This window comes from Homo sapiens, chromosome 5 (genome assembly GCF_000001405.40).
Source record: "Homo sapiens chromosome 5, GRCh38.p14 Primary Assembly".
Classification (NCBI taxonomy): Eukaryota; Metazoa; Chordata; class Mammalia; order Primates; family Hominidae; genus Homo; species Homo sapiens.
In genome coordinates, this window is record NC_000005.10 from 78,283,195 (window position 1) to 78,305,890 (window position 22,696).

The window sequence follows — 22,696 nt, forward strand, 5'->3', positions numbered from 1 at the left end:
GGCAGAGAGTTGTAAAATAATCTGTCCAAGTACCATTTATTAACTCTGTGCCACATTTTGACACCCAGGAATAGTTCCAGAGTGGGTGTGTCTAACCGTCATACCACACTGTCTCAACAAACCACACAATAAACCATTTATCGGCTGTCTTCCTCCTACGGAAGTAGGAATTAAGTTTCGCCCTTTCCTTATACCTTAAACACAATTCAAAAACTTGTACAATCAACTTTCATGGTTTCCCCAAACTGAATTCTCCCTTCTTAGTTTTCTAAGTAAGTTCCAATTCTCCTACTCTCTTCAATGTAGACTTTACTAAGATTCCTCACTGGCCTTCTCTTCACATGCCGCACACACACTTTCCACTCAATGGCTCCAACTACAATGTCATCAATTAATGACTCCCAAATCTACATCACCAGCCCAGGTAGCTGTCCTGAATACCTTATCTATCTATCTAACTGCTCAACGAATGCCTAACTATCAATTCAAATTCAGCAGATCCAAAACGGACCTCAACACTTACCCTCCTCACTCCAAACTTACTCTATCCATCTGTGTTTCCAGTATCACAGAATTCTAGCATCATTCACATACTTGTCCAATCCAAAAACACTGGTGTAGCCAAGGTGATCTTTTTAAAAAATAAATCATTTTATGTTGCTCCTATACTTTAGCACTCCTTACTGTGCAAACCTTCATGATAAAATCCTAATTTCTGAGCATGGTATGCAAAACTCTTCATAATACAGACTGATTACCTCCTAACCATCTTTCACCAGTCAGTCCCTCATTTCCTCCTAACTATGTGCTCTCGCCACACTGAATTGTTTCCTGTTCCCTATGTAAGCCATAAATCCTTGCCTCTAAACCAGCAGTATCCAATAGAATGTTCTGTGATAATAGAAATAATCACTTATCTGCATTATCCATTATAGTAACTGCTAGCTACATCACATACATGAAATGTGACTAGAGTGGTGGAGAAATTAAATTTAATTAAATTAAATTTAAATAGCTACATTTGGCTAGTTGCTACTATATTGAACATTACAGCTCTAAACCTAGGTATATGCTATTCTGTCTGCCTGGTATACACAGGTATGTGTGGAAAGTCCTCATCAGTGCTACTATCTAACATCATTAGTATTCATTCTTTTGCAAGGTTATTCTATTTATGTAGGTAGTAATTAATAAGGTCCATTCTACATAAGATACTATTTAAATCCTCTAGTGGAGCTAGCTACATAACCTCATTTGTATACCTTAGTTGTTTACTTTCCTAATAGCTAATAGATAGTAATTTAACTACAATTTGTCCTAAAAGGACTATCATTTTAAGAAATGAGCAGGCTCCATGCATTGGTAAATGAAACAAGCAAATTATAATGTCATATTATAAAAGCATATAGCTTTGCTCTAAAAACACATGATATACACATACATACATATAAATATATATGCAAAAGAAAAAAGGCTAAAAGATATATACTACATTAACCGATTTCTTCTGGATATTGAAATTAGGGTTGTTATTTTTCAGCTAACCTGTATCTGTAAGTTTTCTAGAAGAAAAAGGGGATATCAGCAATTCTCCAGCAATTTTCCTTCTCTCTAATGCATCATCTATTTTCTCTCCTCTACATCAGTTGGTTCCATCAGCAAACAAGATAATACAGTTTCTCCTACCTTAAGGAAAAATTCCTTGACATAACATTCCTCTCCAAGTGCTGCTCCATTTCTCTGCTCTTCTATACTTAAAAATATACTAATGGCCAGGCGCGGTGGCCCACGCCTGTAAATCCCAGCATTTTGGGAGGCCGAGGTGGGCAGATCATGAGGTCAGGAGATGGAGACCATCCCGGCTAACACGGTGAAACCCCGTCTCTACTAAAAATACAAAAAAAATTAGCTGGGCGTGGTGGAGGGCGCCTGTAGTCCCAGCTACTCGGGAGGCTGAGGCAGGAGAATGGCGTGAACCCGGGAGGCGGAGCTTGCAGTGAGTCGAGATCACGCCACTGCACTCCAGCCTGGGCGACAGAGCAAGACTCTGTCTCAAAAAAAAAAAAAAATACTAACCACAATTCTTCTTCTTCCTTCTCTCTTGAGCCCACTCATGAGGCTTTCAGCCCCACCAGTGCACCTAAACTGCTTGTCACGGTCACCAAAGTCCACCCAGTGACAAATCCAAAACTCCCTTCTCAGTAATCATCTTACTTGACCTATTTGTATTATTTGACACAATTACTCCAGGAATGTCCCAGGACTGACTGACTCTGACCTTTTTCTACACTCACTTCCTCAGTGTCTCATCCAATCCCATGATACCTGATGACTCCCAAATTTATACTTCTAGCCTGACTCCTCCTCTAAGCTCCACACTCTGATATCCAACTGCCTATTTAGTATCTCCACATGGATGCCTAATCGCATCTCAAACTTAACATGCACAAGCTCTTGGTCCCTTTCCCCCTTTAAAAAAAAATTCCTCTTTGCACAATATTCTTCATTTTAGTTGACAGCTATTCCAAACTTCGAGCTGTGTAGGCAAAAAACTTTGTATCCACCCTTGATATCTTTTCTCCCACACACATATCACATCCAAACTATCAGCAAATCTCATTGGCTCTACCTTTCAAATATATCCATAACTCACCCACTTCTCTCCACTACCACCAATCGGATCACCTTCTCTTGCCTGAATTACTGTAATAGTCTCCTTGCTGGTCCTTGCCTCAAATCTGCAGTCCACTCCTAGTTCAAGAGGCAAAATGTCCCTTTAAAGGGTAAACAATCATTTCACCCCTCTGCTCAAAACTCTCCAAATGGCATCCCTTCTCACTCAGAGTAAAATCAAAGACCTTAACAATGATTTTACAAGGCCCTACACAATCAGGTCTCCGCCTTCCACTCTGCCCCTTATCTCTCTGCCCTCATATTTTACTAATTAATTTCCCCCACATCCTTCTTGACCACATTCTCAACCTAGGCTTTAAAAACTTGCAGAAAACCCATTCCAAGAATAAAGTTGGGTGATGCCTAGCTCTGCCAACCTATGATTTTGGAACCACCCTACTATGGTTTCAATGTGTCCTCTCCAAAATTCAGATGTTCAAACTTAATGGCCAATATGATAGCATTAAGAGGTGGGGCCTTTAAGATTTAGTCATGAGGGCTCCTCCCTTCATGAATGAGATTAAGGCCCTTGCAAAAGAGGCTTCACAGTCTTCCATTCTCTTGCCCTTCCACCTTCTGCCCAGTAAGGACACAGCATTACTCCCCTCCAGAGGATGCGGCAACAACAGACCATCTTAGAAGCAAAGAGCAGCCCTCACCAGGAAACTAAACCTGCCTGTGACTCAATCTTGGACTTCCTGGCCTCCAAAAATGTGAGAAATAAAATTATATTCTTTAGAAATTACCCAGTCTCAGGTTTTTTGTTATAGCAGCATAAAACAAACTGAGACAGGGCCTTATTCATTCTTCTCTCATTTGTCCAGCTACCATGCCAACTCACTCAGCTGAATTAAAGACAGTGGACTTCTAATTAGGCTGGTTCCTATCAGCAATATAAATAATCAGTCCATCAATAAACAGATATTGGCTATAAACTGTTCACTTTTGTAGATCTATTAAGTCTTTCCAGCTGATAGGCTAAATAAGCCTTCTCTAAATACACGAACCAACGTTATTCATAATAATATGAAATAGAGGAAAATCATTTCCTTCTTGATTATTCTACTTTAAGCTCTTCATTTTAAATTTTGAATTTGGACTGCAGGCAATTTGTTTTTGTCAGTAGTTCATTTATATACACAAGTGAAATACTGTCAAATTATTTCACTGTAATACATTTGTCATTCTATGAGCATTTATAACTTTTCATGCAGCAAAAAAGAACATTTCAACCAACCATCTGTCTGCCTTTTTCATGTGCTTTAATCATTCAGCTCTGGTAATGTTGCTCCAAATACTAAATTTTTTTTAAATAACATAAAATCTCACATCTTATGATTTAATGGTAAGGCTTGAAATTTAATTTTCAGATTTTTCTCCTCAAATTTTACCAGATCAGTGATTTTAAAAATAACATATCCTACTGTCAAGAAAGAATATTTTCTTGAATATTTATTAAGACAAAATGTAGAAGTCAGAACCAACTCTCCTTCAAGGAGATATGCAAGCAAAGCAAAATAAGATAAAAGGTTTTATAATCTGTTGGAAAGTAAGACTCTGTTTACAGGCAGTATTTCATCAAATTTCTATTCAATGTAGTAAAATCTTATTTAATTTGAAATATATTTCAAGAATTAAATCATAAATGGAACCCTACTGCACCACTGAAATGACAATCCTTAATTTGAATAGTTGGCCCTTTGTAAAACTTACGATCTTATTTTTATGAAGACAAAAACAACTAGTTCAGCTGCTAGGAATGCACTGCAGATGCTAGTATACAGTTTCTTCTTTTATTTTTAGTCACCTTGGAACAAATGCTGAAATTTAGTGAAAAATCAATAAAATACTAAAATTTCCTAATAACTTAATGTACCCCTTGTAAAAAAAAAAAAAAAAAAGTAGGATCCAGTTTACATATGTAGCAAGCAAATATGTTAACAGCTCTAGTACCAGATCTAATGACCATAAATTTCAATTAGCTAAACATAATAAACAAGACAGATCAGTTATCAAACCTGGAATTATTAGAACACAAGAGATTTAAATCTTCATAACTAAAGATGATCAGATGTATAACAGTATGCTGACAAAATCATGACTGAAGCATATTTTCATAGCAGCAACCCTGAACTCCTGAGCACAAGAGAAAGGAATTCACAATGAGGAAGGAGCCCGTGCCTCTTCATGTCATGCTTATGACTCAGGGCACCAACACTTCAACGTCTCAAACTAAAATGTCCTTAACATTTCAAAATTCCAGCATTTCCATTTTCTTCAGTAAATCACTGTTTACACAAACAAAGGCTTATAACAAATAATTTTCAATAGGTATGCCACACTGAAAAGTTGAATTACACAATTTAACACTAATTGTATACTTGAATTACTGACGGTTAGTTCACATTAGCCTAATCTCTCCAAATAAAGTCTGAGTTTCTTAAAAACAAGATAAAGACACTATAATTGTTATGCATTTTTATGGTGAAAACACAGAGGAATGAACCATACATATGGAATAATCCAAGACTGGGAGGTAAAGATGCCTTTGAAGACTGGGATAAAGACTAAAAATCCTGATTGTAAAGTTCATTCCATACCTACATGACAATTCCGAGTCAGTTAATCCTAACCACAGCAAAGACCCAAGTGAACTACACAAAATTAGCTTCAGGGTGATGCTGTACTACAATACAATGGAGATACCAGATGAGGGTTTCCTTCTGTATAGGGTCCACGGAATCAGTCATGCTTCATTTTTTAACAACATTGGCTAATGAGAGAGCAAATGTTAATGGAATCTAAATCACTGAATTGAGTAAAAGGATCTGAAAATATTTTATTAAGCAAAATTATGAGCCAAACACTTTGCTAGGCACCTTCACACAAATCACAGTCTTTAATATGAGCAGAATGTGTGAACGATTTATCTATATAAATATTTAAGAAATATTCACTGAGCAACTACATAAACTGAAAATACACAATGAGATAAAGTTTAAATGAGAAATACTAGGATAAGCAAAAAGAAAGTAGAGCAAGCTCTAAACAACTAGACCATGAAAAAATGTTAAATGAAAAAAAAAAACACCCAAAAATATGGTACAGACACTAGATAAAATTAAGTATTAATAAAAAATGGACTTAAACACAAACAAGTTTAGAACCCATAGTGAGACACAATGACTCTTTGAGGTAGGTCAAATATAATGCGTTACTATTAATAAAATTGTATTTTTAAGAAAGTATATTCAATAACATCCCTCTAAGTAAATGAATCTCACTCAGCTGCATTTCTATATGCCTTTCAGAAAGATACAAAAAGTAGTGGAGATAAAGTCAGAGTTGCTATAATTGCGTACAAACCACAGACACATGTAATCTTCCTACTGGACTCTCCTGAGAATCACTGATATTAAAGGTTAAGAATGAATGTAATAGAATTTTCATGTTTGATATTGTAAAGTTGACAATGAATAAGATTTAAGTTAAAAAATAAGTCAGGCTTTATTGATGCAATCCAAATACACTGGGTTGTATTACTGACTACAGGAAAGCATGCAGTACTTTGCTTGGATCTAAATTAGCTCTTTGAATCTAAACAAATGAAAAGCCCACCCCGATTTAAACAGAGTAAAAATGCTACCTTTCAACGTGTGCAGGAGGTACTGCATTGCTAAGTTACTGGCTGCTAAAGTCACCTTTCAGTTGTTAAACCCAAGGGCCTCTTTTCAGCCTTCATTCTATTTGCCCTTACTCTACAACTCCTGACATAGCTGAACATTTCCTTCTTTTAATTTTCCTGTTAGCATCTTCTTTTTTAAACCTTCCTGTGTTTTCCCACCCTTCTGAGCTCAGTCTCTTTTTCTAGTTCTTCCATTCATACTTTATATCCTGTTGTCCCCTGGGTTTTGTCCAAACTGCCTTCTCGTCTAACAAGAAAAGTCTTCCCTGGGTGATTTCATCCATTCCCATACTTTACTACCTACTATTCATAATTGTGATGTCTAAATATCCATCTCATTTGAACATGCTTTTTCTTTTGCAAATCTTCTGGTTTCTACATACTCTGCCTAAAGAATCCATCTTTCCTCCCCCTGGCAAAAACCTCAGGCTTTAAGATCTAAAGTGTCACTACCTCAGTGAAGTCTTCACCAACTTTCCCAAATAGCGTTAGTTAATATCCTAGTTTAGAAATCACTTTGAAGTACACCATCTCATGAGATCCTCACAAAAGAGGCAAGTATTATCACATCCCGTCTAGAAATGAGGAAACTGAGGTTTGAAGAGATCAGCAACTTGAACAAGGAAGCACTACTACAAATGGAAAACATCAACTTAAATCCAGGTCTTCTAACTCTGGGCCCAGTGTTTTTTGTTTTTTCTTCCCATTTTCATTTATAGAGACAAGGTCTCACTATGTTGCCCAGGCTGGTCTGGAACTCCTGGGTTCAAGCAATCCTCCTGCCTGGGCCTCCCAAAATGCTAAGATTACAGGCAGGGGCCACCATTCCCAGCCTCAGTCTTCCTTCTAATACACCAAGATGCTCTCAAAGGAAAAGAGATTTACAAATTTAGTAGCTTTACTATTGTAATTAAGAAAAATTAATTAGTCTTGTCTGTTTCTAGAAATTAATTCCTAATTAAATGTTTAATCCAGTAACAGAATTATTAAAATTATTTTTAATTATAGGCACACATACCCAAATTGGTTAAAAGAAGTTTTTTTTTAAATGAAGAAAAACAACTTAGAAAAAAACAGAAAATAAAAGTTGAGAATATTTTAAAAAGAAGGAAGGGGCCAAGCACAGTGGTACACGCCTCCAATTCCAGCACCTTGGGAGGATGAGGCAGGCGGATTGCTTGAGCCTAGGAGTTCAAGACTAGCCTGGGCAACATGGCAAGACCCCATCTCTACAATAAATACAAAAATTAGCTGGGCATGGTAGCATGCACCTGTAGTCCCAGCTACTCGGAAGCCTGAGGTGGGAAGGATCACTTGAGCCCAGATGGTTGAGGCTGCAGTGAGCCATGATCACACCACTGCACTCCAGCCTAGGCAACAGAGTAAGACATGTCTCAAAAAATAAAAAATAAGAGTACAAAAATAAGTTCTTTACATTTTAAATAAAGAAATTGAAAATCTTGAAGCCAATAATCTAATACACAGGCCTTTTTAGCCAATAAATTAGGTATAGGATCTACTTTCATAAAGCCATCTAATTCTGCTTCTGTTTGAAGAGAGGAGAAGATAAATAATATTGATAAATAAGATTAAATTCAGAAAACAAAAATTGCCGATAATACTATGACTAGGAAGTACCTAGGCATCATTGAGATGGTTAGTGAAGGATCAGTGAACACAGAGCTCTAGGCCAAGAAGCCAAAGAGCAGAACAGCAGAGGGAGTTGCAGCTGAAACATTACCATTTTGCAGCCATTGTGGAAAAGACAGGTTCAGGAGATTGATCAATGGTTGTTAAATGTAGAAGTGGTCCATTTAAAAAAGAGCAAGACATCTGCATGGTCTCAGTGTCTCCCCACAGATAATTTGAAAAAAAAAAAAAAAAAAACAGAAATGACACCACAGAGAAACTGGACAACCCTGTGACTAGGAAAATTAACATCATGAAGATGGACAACCTATGCCTCCAAATGTAATAGTTCAAGAAGCATGCATCACCTATGGTAGTATCCCAGCCAAGGATACATAACCTGAATCTAAACATGAGGAAACACCAGCAAACCCAAAAACTGATTAACATAAAATAAAATAATAGGCTTTGCAATCCTTAGATATGTCAAATTCATGAAAGACAAAAAAGGCTAAGGAACTATCCCAGATTAAAGAAGATTAAAGAGACATGGCAACTAAATTAAATATATTATCTTGGACTGGAAACTGTACTTGAGGAAAAAAATGCTTGGGAAAAAAAACACTTTATTGGAACAAAGGATAAAATTAGATTAATTTCCTGAATACATCAACACTGTAGTTGCGTAAGAGAATATCTTTGTTCTTAAAAATTACACATTAAGATTTTCATTGTAAAAGAACATGATGTGTACAACTGAGTCTCCAATGGTTCAGAAGACATAATAACATGAATACGTATATGTGCCTGAATATGCATGGGGAGAGTGAGTGGCAGAGAGAGTAAGCAAGCAATGTAGCATTTTTTTTTTAATTGGTAAATCTGCAAAAGGGTAGCTCTCTGTGTCATTGTTGCAACTTTTTTGTAAACTTGAAACTATTTCATCAGAGTAAACCATTAAAAACCAGAGGTGAGGAATAGGGTAAGCTTTAAGTTTTTTATATAAACTTTGTCATTCGATTTTTTAAAAGGCAAGTAATATTACGGTTTTATAAATGAGAAAATGTGGACTCAAGAGAGATTTAATGACCACTTCCAGAACAGGGGTCTCCTTGTTTCTGTACAATTCCATTAGACTGCAGGTCAATAGCCAAATGTTTCTAATCCCTGGAAGCTTCTCTGGTGGTACTACTTGGAGCTACTATTTAAAGTTTTAAACTTTTTGTGAGTTGTATGCACTCACTAATAAAAATACCATACATTTCATCAAGTAGTAAGTAGCACATCTAAACTTTTGAGAGAATGGGCTCTAATATTAGAGCCCCTGAGTTCAAATTCAGGCAGTGCAATGTTCTACCTTTGTGGCCTTTTCCAAGTTAACAACCTTGCTCCAATTTCCTCACGTGTAAAGTGGGAGCAGAGAAGTACCTGGTAATAACCTGCAGGGTTGTTTAGGAAAACTGAATGAGATAATAAATGTAAAGTGGTGTGCACAAATACTCAATAAATATCTTTCGGGGAACACAATTCAACCATGGTTATTTGCATATATTACATATCACCTCTAATCAATTAGCTACTTTTATTTTAAATCCAACCTGTTAGGTCACCTCAAGAGCACTGGTCACAGAGTCAAAGCCGTAAGTTTTTTTTGTTTTTTTTTTCCAAATCAGGTCCAAATTTGACAAAAATCTTTTTCTTTTTTTTCTTTTTTTGAGACGGAGTCTCACTCTGTCGCCCACGTTTGAGTGCTGTGGCGCGATCTCGGCTCACTGCAGCTTCCGCCTCCCGGGTTCAAGCGATTCTCCTGCCTCAGCCTCCCGAGTAGCTGGGATTACAGGCACGAGCCACCACGCCCGGCTAATTTTTGTATTTTTAGTAGAGACGGGGTTTCACCATGTTGGCCAGGCTGGTCTCGAACTCCTGGCCTCAAGCGATCCGCCCACCTCACCCTCCCAAAGTGCTGGGATTACAGGCGTGAGCCGCAGTGCCTGGCCCCAAATCTGACAAAAATCTAAGAGAAAACATCGTAGATGTTCACAAACCATAAAAGTAAATTAATTTGCGAAACAGATTGATGCCGATATACAGGTTAATTCAGTCTAAACATTTTGCTAATAGTAGAGGCAACAAGCTCCGTACTTGTTCTAGAACAATGGATCATCAAATGCATATAATGAAAAATGAAATCAGTTACCTTACTTTTAAACTTTTCTAACCTTGGGAAAAAGGAAAAGATTGTATCTTACATGCTATATATATGATTTTGATCCTCAATACAGCCAAAATGTAATCCCAATTTGAAGTAGTAGCACTTTCTAGACTACCCAATATTGTTAGTAACGTTTAATTTAAATTTTAATTATACCCTCTAACAGATCTGCAAAGCTACTAGCACAGCTATTCTACCTTAATTTAGCATGAATTTAGTGACAGACTATTATGTGACCCTATTGCTTAGTAATGAAAGATTTAAAATAAGAGAAATGTAAAAATGATAATTCTGGTAAATGTAACCACTACCACCAACCCACCCCCCAAAACAAACAACTTGGGATTTCTTTCCATTTCTCGGTGATACTTTTTACAAAACTAAGTGTACCTTGTTTAACATTCGTTTTTAAAATTCACATTATTAATCTGTAAAAGTTTTGGATTTGTTCACAGTAACACTCTTTTAAAATATTTTCTATTCATATGCTTATTTTGGATTGGTGTTTTTGTCTGTAGTGCAAAGGACATAATCCAAGAACATTAATACTGGTGTAAACCAGTTTGTCCATTCAAACAGCCTAAATCCACCTCTCTGCTCCTACACTCCGGGGTCACAAAATAACTTCCCACAAGCAACACTCGCACTCTCACCTTCACCAAAACACTCCTTTCACCCTAATCAGGGAATGTATTAAAGTCTGATCCGGCGAACGGTAAATAAACTAGAAGACGATGCTCAAAATTCAGACTCCTGAGCCCAGCCCAAGTCCAATTCAATCAGTGTCTTCAGGGGTGGGATCTAAGCTCACCAAGTGGTTTCCTTTTCACTAAAGTTTGAAAACTACTAGAGACCCCTACACACATTCGCCCCAAACTCCCACAACTCCCACCACCGCCAACCAACCCCACCTACCCACCCGCGGGACACGTTACCGCCCTGCCCTGCTCAGACCTCAGGGCGACCCCGCTCCTCTCCAGGAAGCCCACCCTGGCGCCCACTCCTCCGAGTCCGCAGCTCCTCCCTCCCATCCCCGCAACCCAAACCTTTCTCCTCACTTCTTCAAATCGCTGCTAAAGAGGCCGAAGGCCCCCGAGGGGGAAATGGTTGAGGTCGCCTCCTGACCCAGCTCCGTCGCCTCCCCTCCTCCGGACTGCTCATTGTAAGGAAAACTATTGCTGGACATTGCCGCGGTGCTGGCGGGTGCGGGGTTGGTCCTGCCGGGGGTTCTCTCCAAAAGGTTCCAGTCCAGAGGGCACGGAACAAAACTAGTTCTCGTACGGAGGAGCGCGCGCAGGCGCTTCCGGACTCGTCACGGCTCCCTGAGCCGACCTGGCAGTCCACCCCCTGCGCATGCGCAGTGTGCAGGCCTGCTAGATTACCACCCGGGCCATCCAGGCCTGCGCGGACTTTCCTGCTCCGGGCTTTAGAGGTAGCTGAGCGGCTGCGAGCCGGACTGCGGAAGGGGAGGCAGCGGGTGGCTAACTGCCCGGCTCCCGGCCCGTTTGAGGTGTGTCTTTGGAGAAGGATACCCATTGCATCCGTTTTGATCCGTTAAGGAGTTTCCAGAGCCCGGACAGCTCTTTGCTATACTTCAGTAAAGCAATAGTTTTCAGATTTCTCCGGAAATGCCATTTAGCACGCCAGATCACCTTTCCTAAACCCATCACGATCGCTTTTCCTTTTCTTGCTTGTTTCGGCTACTCTCTTCCATCCGGCTTTGCCTTACTTTCATATCGGTCCCAAACAACTTTTCTCCTAGACTTTAAGGAGGCCTCTCCCAACGATGGTTTGGAGGATCCGCACAGAAGCGACCATTCCATCTTTTCAATGAAAGTCTTGGGGGCAGACCGGGCGCGGTGGCTCACGCCAGTAATTCCAGCACTTTGGGAGGCCGAGGCGGGTGGATCACTTGAGGCCAGGAGTTCGAGACCAGCCTAGGCAACATAGCGAGACCCTTTCTCTGCAAAAAATATAAAAATTAGCCGGCGTGGTGGCGCGTGTCTGTGGTCCCAGCTACTGAGGCTGAGGTGGGAGGATCACTCGAACCCAGAAGGAGGGGGTAGCGATGAGTTGAGATCTCTCCACTGCATTCCAGCCTGGGCGACAGAGCGAGACCCTGTCTCAAAAAAATGAAAAAGAAAAGAAAACATCTTGGGGCCACCAGTTCCCGTTTGGAGCTGAAGTGGTGCGTCCTATTGGCGTCTAGCTACCAAAAATAAAATGGACCACCTCGCGCGCCAGTCGTGTTACTCACTAATATGCACTAGGGAGCCTAGGCGGGATGCTTGCCTGGCCCCAGAGTAGCTCTCTCCGGGTGCTGGCACCCGAGAAAACCTCTTTCCCGGGGTGCCTTCCCCCAGCCCGCCTTCTCAGGTGGGTTTCAGCGCCTTCCCTCTCTTCTCCCCAGTGCCTCCCGTCCAAGGAAGGCATTAACACCCAAAGCCCTGGCGGCCAGGTACTGAAACTGTCAAGGGATTCTACCAGGTAGAACGCGAACCTGGAGGCCGGCCGCCCCAGGGAAGGCGGTGGGGCGTTTTCAAGGATGAGAGTATGATCTCCAAATTTCAAAAGGTCACACTGTCACTGTGGAAGCACGCAAGAGCGTGGCTCTGGGTGGGAGAGGAAGGGACGTCCTCCAAACTTGATCGTCTGGTCAAATATTGGCAGGTTTTTAATTCAGCTGTTAGAATACTCCTCCGGAGAGCCAATGATGAGCACCTAAAATGTGTTATTTGTCAGTATTAATTAATAGAATTTCACCTACAACTGACTATTGATGATGAGGATGAGGATGATCATAGATAACTATATATTATTATATAATCCTTAATATATACCAGGATATAAGTAGTTTTATATATATTAAAACTTCTAAGTAGTTTTATATATATAAATAGTTAAAGTAGTTAACTTTTAATATAAAAAAATTTATTTTAAGTTAAAATAAATACTTTTAAGTTAAAATAGTTAACTTTTAATATATATTAAAAGTTCTAAGTAGTTTTATATATATTAATAGTAAAAAGAGCTAGGCTTTGATTACTTTATTTGTAAAATGAGAACATTGATATACACATAGCCTGGAAAATCTCGGACACATACCTGATTACAGAATTTCTTGGTTTTAGAGCATGTACACTTTTACCAGATATCCTAAATTTTTTTCCAGCATACTTTTAGCAGTGGATAATCTTCTTTCTTCACATTCTCACAAACGTTTAGCTTTCTAAAAATGTTTAATTGTCATCAATATGATACAAATGAATATTATTTGTATTGTAATTAATTTTCATTCTCATGGCCATAATGAACTTGAGAATATTTTATGTGATTGTTACTCCATTTGCATTTTATTTCCTGGGAATTGCACATGAACCTATTTATCCACTTTTACACTGAGTAGTTTTTCTGATGGACTTGAAGAGTTCTTTATCATTGAGTCTGTTATTTTTAATTAACTGCTTGATTTTATTTTGTAATATTTTTATTTTTTCATACAGACTCAGGTAGGAGACTGACCTACAATATTGGGGTTTTGGGTTTTGGGGGTTTGTTTTTTGGGGTTTTGTTTGTTTTGTTTTTACATTGTCTTTGAATGGTGTGGATATTAAGAATATCTATTCTTCAAAAAAGAGGTATAGGTAACTTTCTTTTTCTCTGGAATATTACGTATAAGATACAAAGCATATATTCCTGGATGAAATAGGTAAAACTTTATTTTTATCACTAAAAAAAAAATAAAAAAATGAGAGCATTGACAAGAAGGGACTTGAGGCCCTTACTGCCTTAGAATTCTAACACTGTATATTCTTACAGAAAGATAAAAAGTAATAACTCCATGGGCTGTGATCCAGCTTTCCCATATCTCCAGAACTGAAAAATCTTTTATATAGCCATGAAGTTTTCTGACAGAGGAAAAAAAGTCACACTTCCAACTGGAAGAAACATTAATAAAACTAAAAGATTACTCTTTGACACCTGTTGCCAAACCAAACCAGATTTTTCTGTTTCCTGCCAGTATACGTAGTGTCTGGTATTACTGCCAAATAAGCTGTTTTTTTTTTTCCAAAAACTATTTTCCCCCTAACACTTAACAAAACCTTTATCAAATTTTCTGTTTCCATTTCTGTTCATCTAACCCTCATGATATAGGTGTTAAGTGTGTATATATATTCAAGCTTTTTTCTCTAAGCATAGAAAAATAAATGATATATGGCATGTTTCTGCAAATACCAGTTAAAACCATAATACCATTCTGCATCTTACTGCATCTCACTGTTTTAAAGATCTACATAGTATTTCATTTCATAGGTGCATCTTTATTTATTTAATCAATAGCCTATTGATACACATGTAAATTGTTTCCAGTTTTGGACTATTATAACAACTTTGTCAATGCATGTCTTTGCACCACGCCACCACTATTCCCATTAGTTAAGATTCCAAAAGTCCAATAGCTAGAACAGATGATATGTGCAATTAAAATTTTAATAGATATTGCCAAATTTCTAACATAAAAAGAGAATACCAACACTTTCACCAATATTCTTCCATCTCAACACACCCTTTCCAGCAATGTACATCATAAATCTTTTTAATGTTTGCTAATCTGATTGGTAATAATAATAATAAAATCTCTACTATCATTTAAACTTGCATCTCATTTATTCTAAGTAAAGAGACATTAAAATGTATTGTCCAAATAGGAAGTTTTCTTTTTTTGTTTGTTTGTTCGTTTGTTTTTTGAGATGAGTTTTGCTCTTGTTGCCCAGGCTGGAGAATAATGGCGCGATCTCAGCTCACTGAAACCTCTGTCTCCTGGGATCAAGTGATTCTCCTGCCTCAGCCTCCCGAGTAGCTGGGATTACAGGCATGCGCTACTATGCCCAGCTAATTTTATATTTTTAGTAGAGATGGAGTTTCACCATGTTAGTCAGGCTGGTCTCGAACTTCTGACCTCAAGCGATCCACTCGCCTCGGCCTCCCAAAGTGCTGGGATTACAGACGTAAGCCACAGCGCCCAGCCCCAAATAGGAAGTTTTCGAGACAAAAAGTGATACTAGTCATAATTTTACTGGACAAATACATGTAAACCAGGACTCTGCCAGGGAAATAGGCATATATGGTTACCCTAAATATAACAGATTTAAAGCACACATCAAACGGCTATTTGAATTTTTCTTCTATTAATTATGCACATTTGTCACTTGCTTAGTTTTAAGTGGATCTTTTATTGATTTGTAGGCATACTTTATAGATACTGAATGTTAACATTTTCTCATTATTATCTAGAATATGTTATAAAAATTGATTCAAGGCCGGGCACAGTGGCTGACACCTGTAATCCCAGCACTTTGGGAGGCCAAGGCAGGCGGATCACTTGAGGTCAGGAGTTCGAGACCAGCCTGGTCAACATGGTGAAACCCCATCTCTACTAAAAATACAAAAATTAGCCTGGTGTAGTGGTACATGCCTGTAATCCCAGCTACTGGGGAGGCTGAGGCAGGAGAATTGCTCAAACCCGGGAGGCAGAGGATGCAGTGAGCTGAGATGGTGCATTGCACTCCAGCCTGGGCGAAGAAGCGAGACTCTGTCTCAAAAAAAAAAAAAAAAATTTTGATTCAAAAAGTTGCAGGAAACCTGAATAAACTAAATAACTATAGAAGAGAATTGGAAACGTTGCCAAAAGTCTACCACCAAAAAAGGACTACACTAATATAGTTCTATTGGGCCTATAAGGAGTTTACTATTTCTGTTATTTTAAACTATTATTAAACTTAGCAAAGAAAAAGACAAAGCACTTCCAAATTCATTTTGTAGGACTGATTTTATTAAATACAAAAAAGAACAATAAACTATCTCAATACTAAACAAATGCTAAATGAAAAACAAAATAATCCAATACGTTTTGTTATATGATAAAAGAATCTTTGAACATTAAGAAACATAATGATAGATATTGGAAATCATTTCATAATATTTTATCAGCTCTTCTGATTTAAAGAAAAAATTAATAATCCAGAAATAAAAGTAAATTTTCTTATTATTATTATATATATGTAAATAGGTATCAATATGGTTTGGCTCTGTGTCCCCACCCAAATCTCATCTGAAATTTTAAACCCCATAAACCCCACAATCTCCAAGTGTCTTGGGAGGGATCTGGTAGGAGGTCACTGGATCATGGAGGTGGTTTCCCCCATGCTGTTCTCATGACAGTGAGTGAGTTCTCATGAGATCTGATGGTTTTATAAGGGGCTCTTACCCCTTCATTCTCTCTCTCTCCTGCCACCTTGTGAAGCAGGTGCCTTCTTTCCCCTCCACCATGATTGTAAGTTCCCTGAGGCCTCCCCAGCCATGCAGAACTGTGAGTCAATTAAATCTCTTTTCTTTACAAATTACCCAATCTAGGGTAGTATCTTTGTAGCAGTGTGAAAACAAAATAATACAGTAAATTGGTACCAGTAGAGTGGGGTACTGCTATAAAGACAAACTGAAAATGTGGAAGTGACTTTGAAACTAGGTAACAGGCAGAGGTTGGAGCAGTTTGGAGGGCTCAGAAGAAGACAGGAAGATATGGGAAAGTTTGGAACTTCCTAGAGATTTGTTGAATGGTTTTGACCAAAATGCCGATAGTGATGTGGACAATGAAGTCCAGGGTGAAGTGGTCTCAGATGGAGATGAGGAACTATATTAGTCTGTTCTCATGCTGCTAATAAAGACATACCTGAGACTGGGCAATTTATAAAGTAAAGATGTTTAATGAACTCACAATTCCTCATAGCTCAGGAGGCGTCATTCATGGCAGAAGACGAAGGAAGAGCAAAAGGACATCTTACGTGGTGGCAGACAAAAGAAAGCTCCTGCAGGGAAACTCCCCTTTATAAAACCATCAGATCTCTTGAGATTTATTCACTATCACCACAACAGCACAGGAAAAACCTGCCCCCATGATTCAATTACCTCCCACTGGGTCCCTCCCACAACACATGGGGATTATTATAATTCAAGATGAGATTTGGGTGGAGACACAGAGCCAAACCATATCAGGAATTTATTGGAAACTGGAGCAAAATCACTCTTACTATGCTTTAGCAAAGAGACCAGTGGCATTTTGCCCCTGCCATAGAGATGTGTGAAACTTTGAACTTGACAGAGATGATTAGGGTGTCTGACAGAAGAAATTTCTAAGCAGCAAAGTGTTCAAGAAGTGACAGAACATAAAAGTTTGGAAAATTTGCAGCGACACCATGTGGTAAAAAAGAAAAACCCATTTACTCATTTTCTGGGGAATAATTCAAGCTGCTGCAGAAATTTGCATAAGTAATGAGGGGCCAAAATGTTAATTGTTAAGACACTGGGGAAAATGTTTCCAGGGCATGTCAGAGGTCTTCACAGCAGCTCCTCCCATCACAGGCTCTGAGGCCCAGGAGGAAAAAATGGCCCCACTGCTCTGTGCAGCTTCAGGACTTAGTGCCCTGCTTCCCAGCCACTCTAGCTCTAGCCATGGCTAAAAGGAGCCAAGGAACAGTTCAGGCTGTTTCTTCAAAGGAAGTAAGCCCCAAGCCTTGGCAGCTTCCGTGTGGTGTTGGGCTTGTGGGTGCATAGAAGTCAAGAATTGAGGCCTTGGAACCTCTGCCTAGATTTCAGAGGATGTATGGAAATGCCTGGATGTCTATACAGAAGTCTGCTGCAGAGGCAGAGCCCTCATGGAGAATTTCTGCTAGGGCAGTACAGAAAGGAAATGTGGGGTTGGAGCCTACACACAGAGTACCCACTGGGGCATTGCCTAGTGGAGCTGTGAGAAGAAAGCCATCACCCTCCAGACCCCAGAATGATAGATCCACCTACAGCTTGCACCATGCACCTGGAAGAGCTGCAGGCACTCAATGCCAGCTGATGAAGGAGCTTCCCAAGGCCATGGGAGCCCACCCCTTGCATCAGCATGTCCTGGATGTGAGACTTGGAGTCAAAGGAGATTATTTTAGCGCTTTAAGATTTAATGGCTGCCCCACTGAATGTCGAACTTGCATGGGGCCTCCACTCCCTTTGTTTTTGATTTTACAGGCTCATAGGCAGAAAGAACTTGCCTTGTGTCAGATAAGACTTTGGACTTGGACTTTTGAGTTAATGCTGAAATGAGTTAAGACTTTGGTGGACTGTTGGGAAGGCATGATTGGGTTGAAATGTTAAAAAGACATAAGATTTGGGAAGGAGCAGGGCTGCAATGATATGGTTTGGCTCTGTGTCCCCACCCAAATCTCATCTTGAATTGCAATCTCCATAATCTCCATGTGTCGAGAGAGGGACCTGGTTAGAGGTGATTGGATCATCGGGGTGGTTTCCCCCATGCTGTTCTCATGATAGTGAGTGAGTTCTCACAAGATCTGATGGTTTTATAAGGGGCTCTTCCTCCTTCACTACCTCTCGCTCTCTCTCTCTCTCTCTCTCTCCTGCCACCTTGTGAAATAAGGTGCCTGCTTCCCCTTCAGCCATGATTGTAAGCTTCCTGAGGCCTCACCACCCATACAAAACTGTGAGTCATTTAAACCTCTTTTCTTTATTAATTACCCAGTCTCAGGTAGTATCTTTGTAGCAGTGTGAAAATGGACTAATACAGATATAGATAAATAGACAGATTACGTTAAAATACCTCCACAAAATATACAAAGTAAAACACACATCATGTTTCATAGTGAAACATCAAAGGCATTCCAACTAAAGTCAGAAAAAAGGTAAATATGCCTATTAACACCATCATCATTTAACACTGTTCTATAGATTCTAACTAATGCAATAAAACAAGAAAAACAAATAAGAAAAATAAACAGTATAAAGGAGAAAAGATTATAACATTTATAAATGATATTGTCTCACTAGAAAGTCTCAGAGATGTTAAGTGGATTCAGCAGAGTGGCCAAATTCAAAATCCAATAGCATTCCTACATGCCAATAGCATCTAATTAGAAATATAACTTCTGCCAGGTGCAGTGGCTCATGCCTGTAATCCCAGCACTTTGGGAGGCCAAGGCAGGTGGATCACTTGAGGTCAGGAGTTCAAGACCAGCCTGGCCAACGTGGTAAAACCCCATCTCTACTAAAAGTACAAAAATTAGCTGGGCGGTTGTGGCACATGCCTGTAATCCCAGCTCCAGAGGCTGAGGCAGGAGAATCGCTTGAGCCTGGGAGACGGAGGCTGCGGTGAGCCAAGATCGCCCCACCGTGCTCCAGTCTGAGAGACAGAGTGAAACCCTGTCTCAAAAAAAAAAAAAAAAGGAATGTAACTTCAAAAAGAGCCTGTTCCACGTAGCAACAAAGAAGTAAGCCTTAAGAAATCAACCTTAAAAAATGTACAAGTCCTAAGTGACGAAAATATAAAATTTTACCGAAGGGTTAGGGGTTGGGGTAGAGACCTAAAAAGGAGTCTATGTTTCTGAATAAAAATATTTGAATGAATTTAGATATTTAATGCAGTTTCAATCAAAATTGAAAATGTTTTACTAGGCCAATTGATGCTAAAGTTCATCTAGAAGAATAAATGCAGCTGAAAGCAAGACATTTTTTGGAAAGAAAAAAAAGAATATTGGACTCACCCTACCACTCATTTAAATGTACTATAAAATTGTTGTAATGCAAAAGTCTGGTAATGACCCAAGAGCAAATAAATTGATTGGCAGCATAGAATAGAAACAGACTCAGTTATATGCTGGCATTGACATTATGAAAAAGTTAATATTCCTGACCTGTTAGGAAATAATGTAGTATACAATAAATGCTACTGGGACAATTAGTTAACTATGTGGCAAAAATTAGGCTCCATCCCTGTGTTAATTTCCTATTACTGCTGTTACAAATTACCACAAACTAGATAGTTTGAAACAACATAAGTTTATTCCTACAGTTCTGGAGTCCAGAGGCTCAAAATCAAGGAACACAGTCTAAGGTATGGGCAGGACCCTCCCTCCAGAAGCTCTAGGGGGAAATTCTTCCTTGCCTTTTCTAGCTTTTAGGGCTGCATTCCTTGTACTCCTTGGCTCCAGGCCCCTTCCTCCATCTCCAGGGCAGCAGCATAACATCTTCAAGTCTCTCTCTCTGCTCCGTCTTCACATGGCCTCTTCCTCTTCTTTGTCAAATTTCCTTCTGCCTTCCTCTTTTAAGGACACTTGTGATGACATTTAAGGCCCACCAAGTTAATCCAGGATAATCTCCCCATCTCAGCACCCTTAACTTAATTGTATCTATAAAGTCACTTTTGCCATATAAAGTAACATTCACATTTTTCAGGGATTAGAATTTGGACATATTTGGGAGCTGTTATTCAGCCTACTGTAATCTCTAACCCACACAATGCCTAAAATAAACCCCAGATTGATTAAAGATAAACTACAAAAACTAATTTTTTTTAATTTTTATTTTAAGTTCAGTAGTGCAAGTGCAGGTTTGTTACACAGGTTAACTTATGTCATGGGAGTTTGTTGTACAGATTATTTCATCACTCAGGTATTAAGCCTAGTATCTATTAGTTATTTAGCTATTTTTCCTGATCCTCTCCCTCTTCCCACCCTCCATCCTCCAAAAGGCCCCAGTGTGTGTTGTTCCCCTTTATGTGTCCATGTGTTCTCAAAAAAACTGATTGAATTTTAGGAAAATATTTTCCTGACTGAGGGGTCTCATGGTTGAGAAATGGAGTGAGAGAGACTTTCTGCATAAATCTAGGCAAGAAACAATTTTTAAAATTTGTAAAACAGTAAGTATTATATGAATACGCAGTTTTATTGCCTTTAGATTAGGAAATTCATCTTATGTTTTTCATTTATTTTATTTATTTATTTATTTGAGACAGGGTCTCATTCTGTCACCCAGGCTGGAGTGCAGTGGCATGATCACAGCTCACTGAAGCCTCTAACTCCTGGGCTCAAGCAATCCTCCCATCTCAGCCTCCTGAATAGCTGGGACCACAGGTGCACACCACCATGTCTGGCTATTTTTTAAAAATTTTTTGGTAGAGAAAATGTTTCACTCTGTTGGCTGGGCTGGTCTCAAATTCCTGGGCTCAAGTGATTCTCCCACCTCAGCCTCCCAAAGTGCTGGGATTACAGGTGTGAGCCACCACTCCCAGACTTCTTATGTTTTTTAATAGAATTTAAATTTAACAAGGTTAGTGAAGACATGAGGTTCAAATTTCACAAGTAATTTCTAGGTGTTCATTTGAATGTGTAATAAGGAATAAAGTTACCCCTATTTAAAAAAAAATTAAATTAGGATTATGAAGAAAAGAGTAACATGACCTCTAATAAAGAAGAGTTTCCACTTATTGCATTTTTAAAATTTTTCAAACTCCAAGTGAGGTAATTTACATGCACTTACCATGGTTCCACTCAATCTGGTCCTTGTTTATATCTCTTAACTTAATTGTAGAAGCACTCTTCCTAGCTTACACACCCCTTATACTCCAGGCAGTCTGGCTTTTCTGTTCTTTGATCCACCAAGCTTGTTCTGACCTGAGAGACCTTACTGGCTGGGCTCTTCTGAAGGACCCAGCCTTTTGAAGACCTATTGGTGGGTCTCCAAAAGGCTGGCTCCTTCAGCTTTGTTCAGGCTTTATTCTATTCAGGTTTTAGCTCAAATATCACCTCTTCAGAGAGATCTTCTCTGACCATCCAGTCTAATGTGGTTCTTCCATCTGATCCCCAAATCCCTGGTTACATAATTGATTTGGACAGCTGATCTGTTTAGCTAGCCATGCATCGCTCTCTGATACATATCACTCTGGAAGCTTTGCACTGGGTTACATAGTGCAATTTTCCCAGGTAGACTGTAAAGTTTCTCTTACCAAATGCACGTGAGTTGTCATGCCCTCCTGTTTAGAGAAATTCCATGATTTATTATTTTGGAACATGAAGAAATCTTCTCTAATTGAATATATGCAATCCTCCAATTTACTAAGCATTTGGGGATTTTCATACTTAAGGCTTTCCAAAACAGTACACACCTATAAACTTGTGCCTTGAAAATGCTATGACTGGCAAGGCGTGATGGCTCATGCCTATAATCCTAGCGCTTTGGGAGGCCAAGGTGGGTGGATCACCTGAGGTCAAGAGTTTGAGACCAGCCTGGTCAACATGGTGAAACCCTGTCTCTACTAAAAATACAAAAATCAATCGGGCATGGTGGCAGATTCCTGTAATCCCAGCTACTCAGGAGGCTGAGGCAGGAGAACCGCTTGAACCTGGGAGGTAGAGGTTGCAGTGAGCCAAGATCACGCCATTACACTCCAGCCTGGGTGAAAGTGCAAAACTCCATCTCAAAAAAAAAAAAAGAAAAAGAGAAAAAGAAAATGCTTCATTTTCATTATTATATTTTATAATAAAATTACTCTGGGAAAAGGCAATGCGATCAACCCTACATGAGATAATGACTGACATTTATTTGAAATGATTTAGGAATGTAGAGAAACCGTATCACTAAATATCTCAAAGGAAACATTTTAGGCC

At 39.1% G+C, this 22,696-nt stretch overlaps 1 protein-coding gene across 3 annotated transcripts in view, besides 2 other annotated features; it reads right to left on the reverse strand.

Moving 5' to 3' along the window:
- Nucleotides 1-11,504, reverse strand: part of AP3B1 (adaptor related protein complex 3 subunit beta 1) — a 294,177-nt gene extending 282,673 nt beyond the window's left edge. For 2 of the 3 annotated variants that reach the window (NM_003664.5, NM_001410752.1), the window contains exon 1: nucleotides 11,258-11,504. In NM_003664.5, coding sequence (NP_003655.3) covers nucleotides 11,258-11,385 — 128 coding nt within the window. In that variant the 5' untranslated portion in view covers nucleotides 11,386-11,504. Of the gene's footprint in view, nucleotides 1-11,245 lie in introns of all 3 variants that reach the window. The other variant, NM_001271769.2, reaches the window with a different exon arrangement.
- Nucleotides 11,767-12,340: an enhancer, noted in NCBI's record as "OCT4-NANOG-H3K27ac-H3K4me1 hESC enhancer chr5:77590785-77591358 (GRCh37/hg19 assembly coordinates)". NCBI's record gives its function as "activates a minimal SCP1, AML or CMV promoter by ChIP-STARR-seq in naive H9 embryonic stem cells {active_cell/tissue: H9 hESC(naive)}" and the evidence as "EXISTENCE:reporter gene assay evidence [ECO:0000049][PMID:30033119]".
- Nucleotides 12,715-12,764: an enhancer, noted in NCBI's record as "active region_22705". NCBI's record gives its function as "activates an Ori minimal core promoter by ATAC-STARR-seq in GM12878 lymphoblastoid cells {active_cell/tissue: GM12878}" and the evidence as "EXISTENCE:reporter gene assay evidence [ECO:0000049][PMID:35858748]".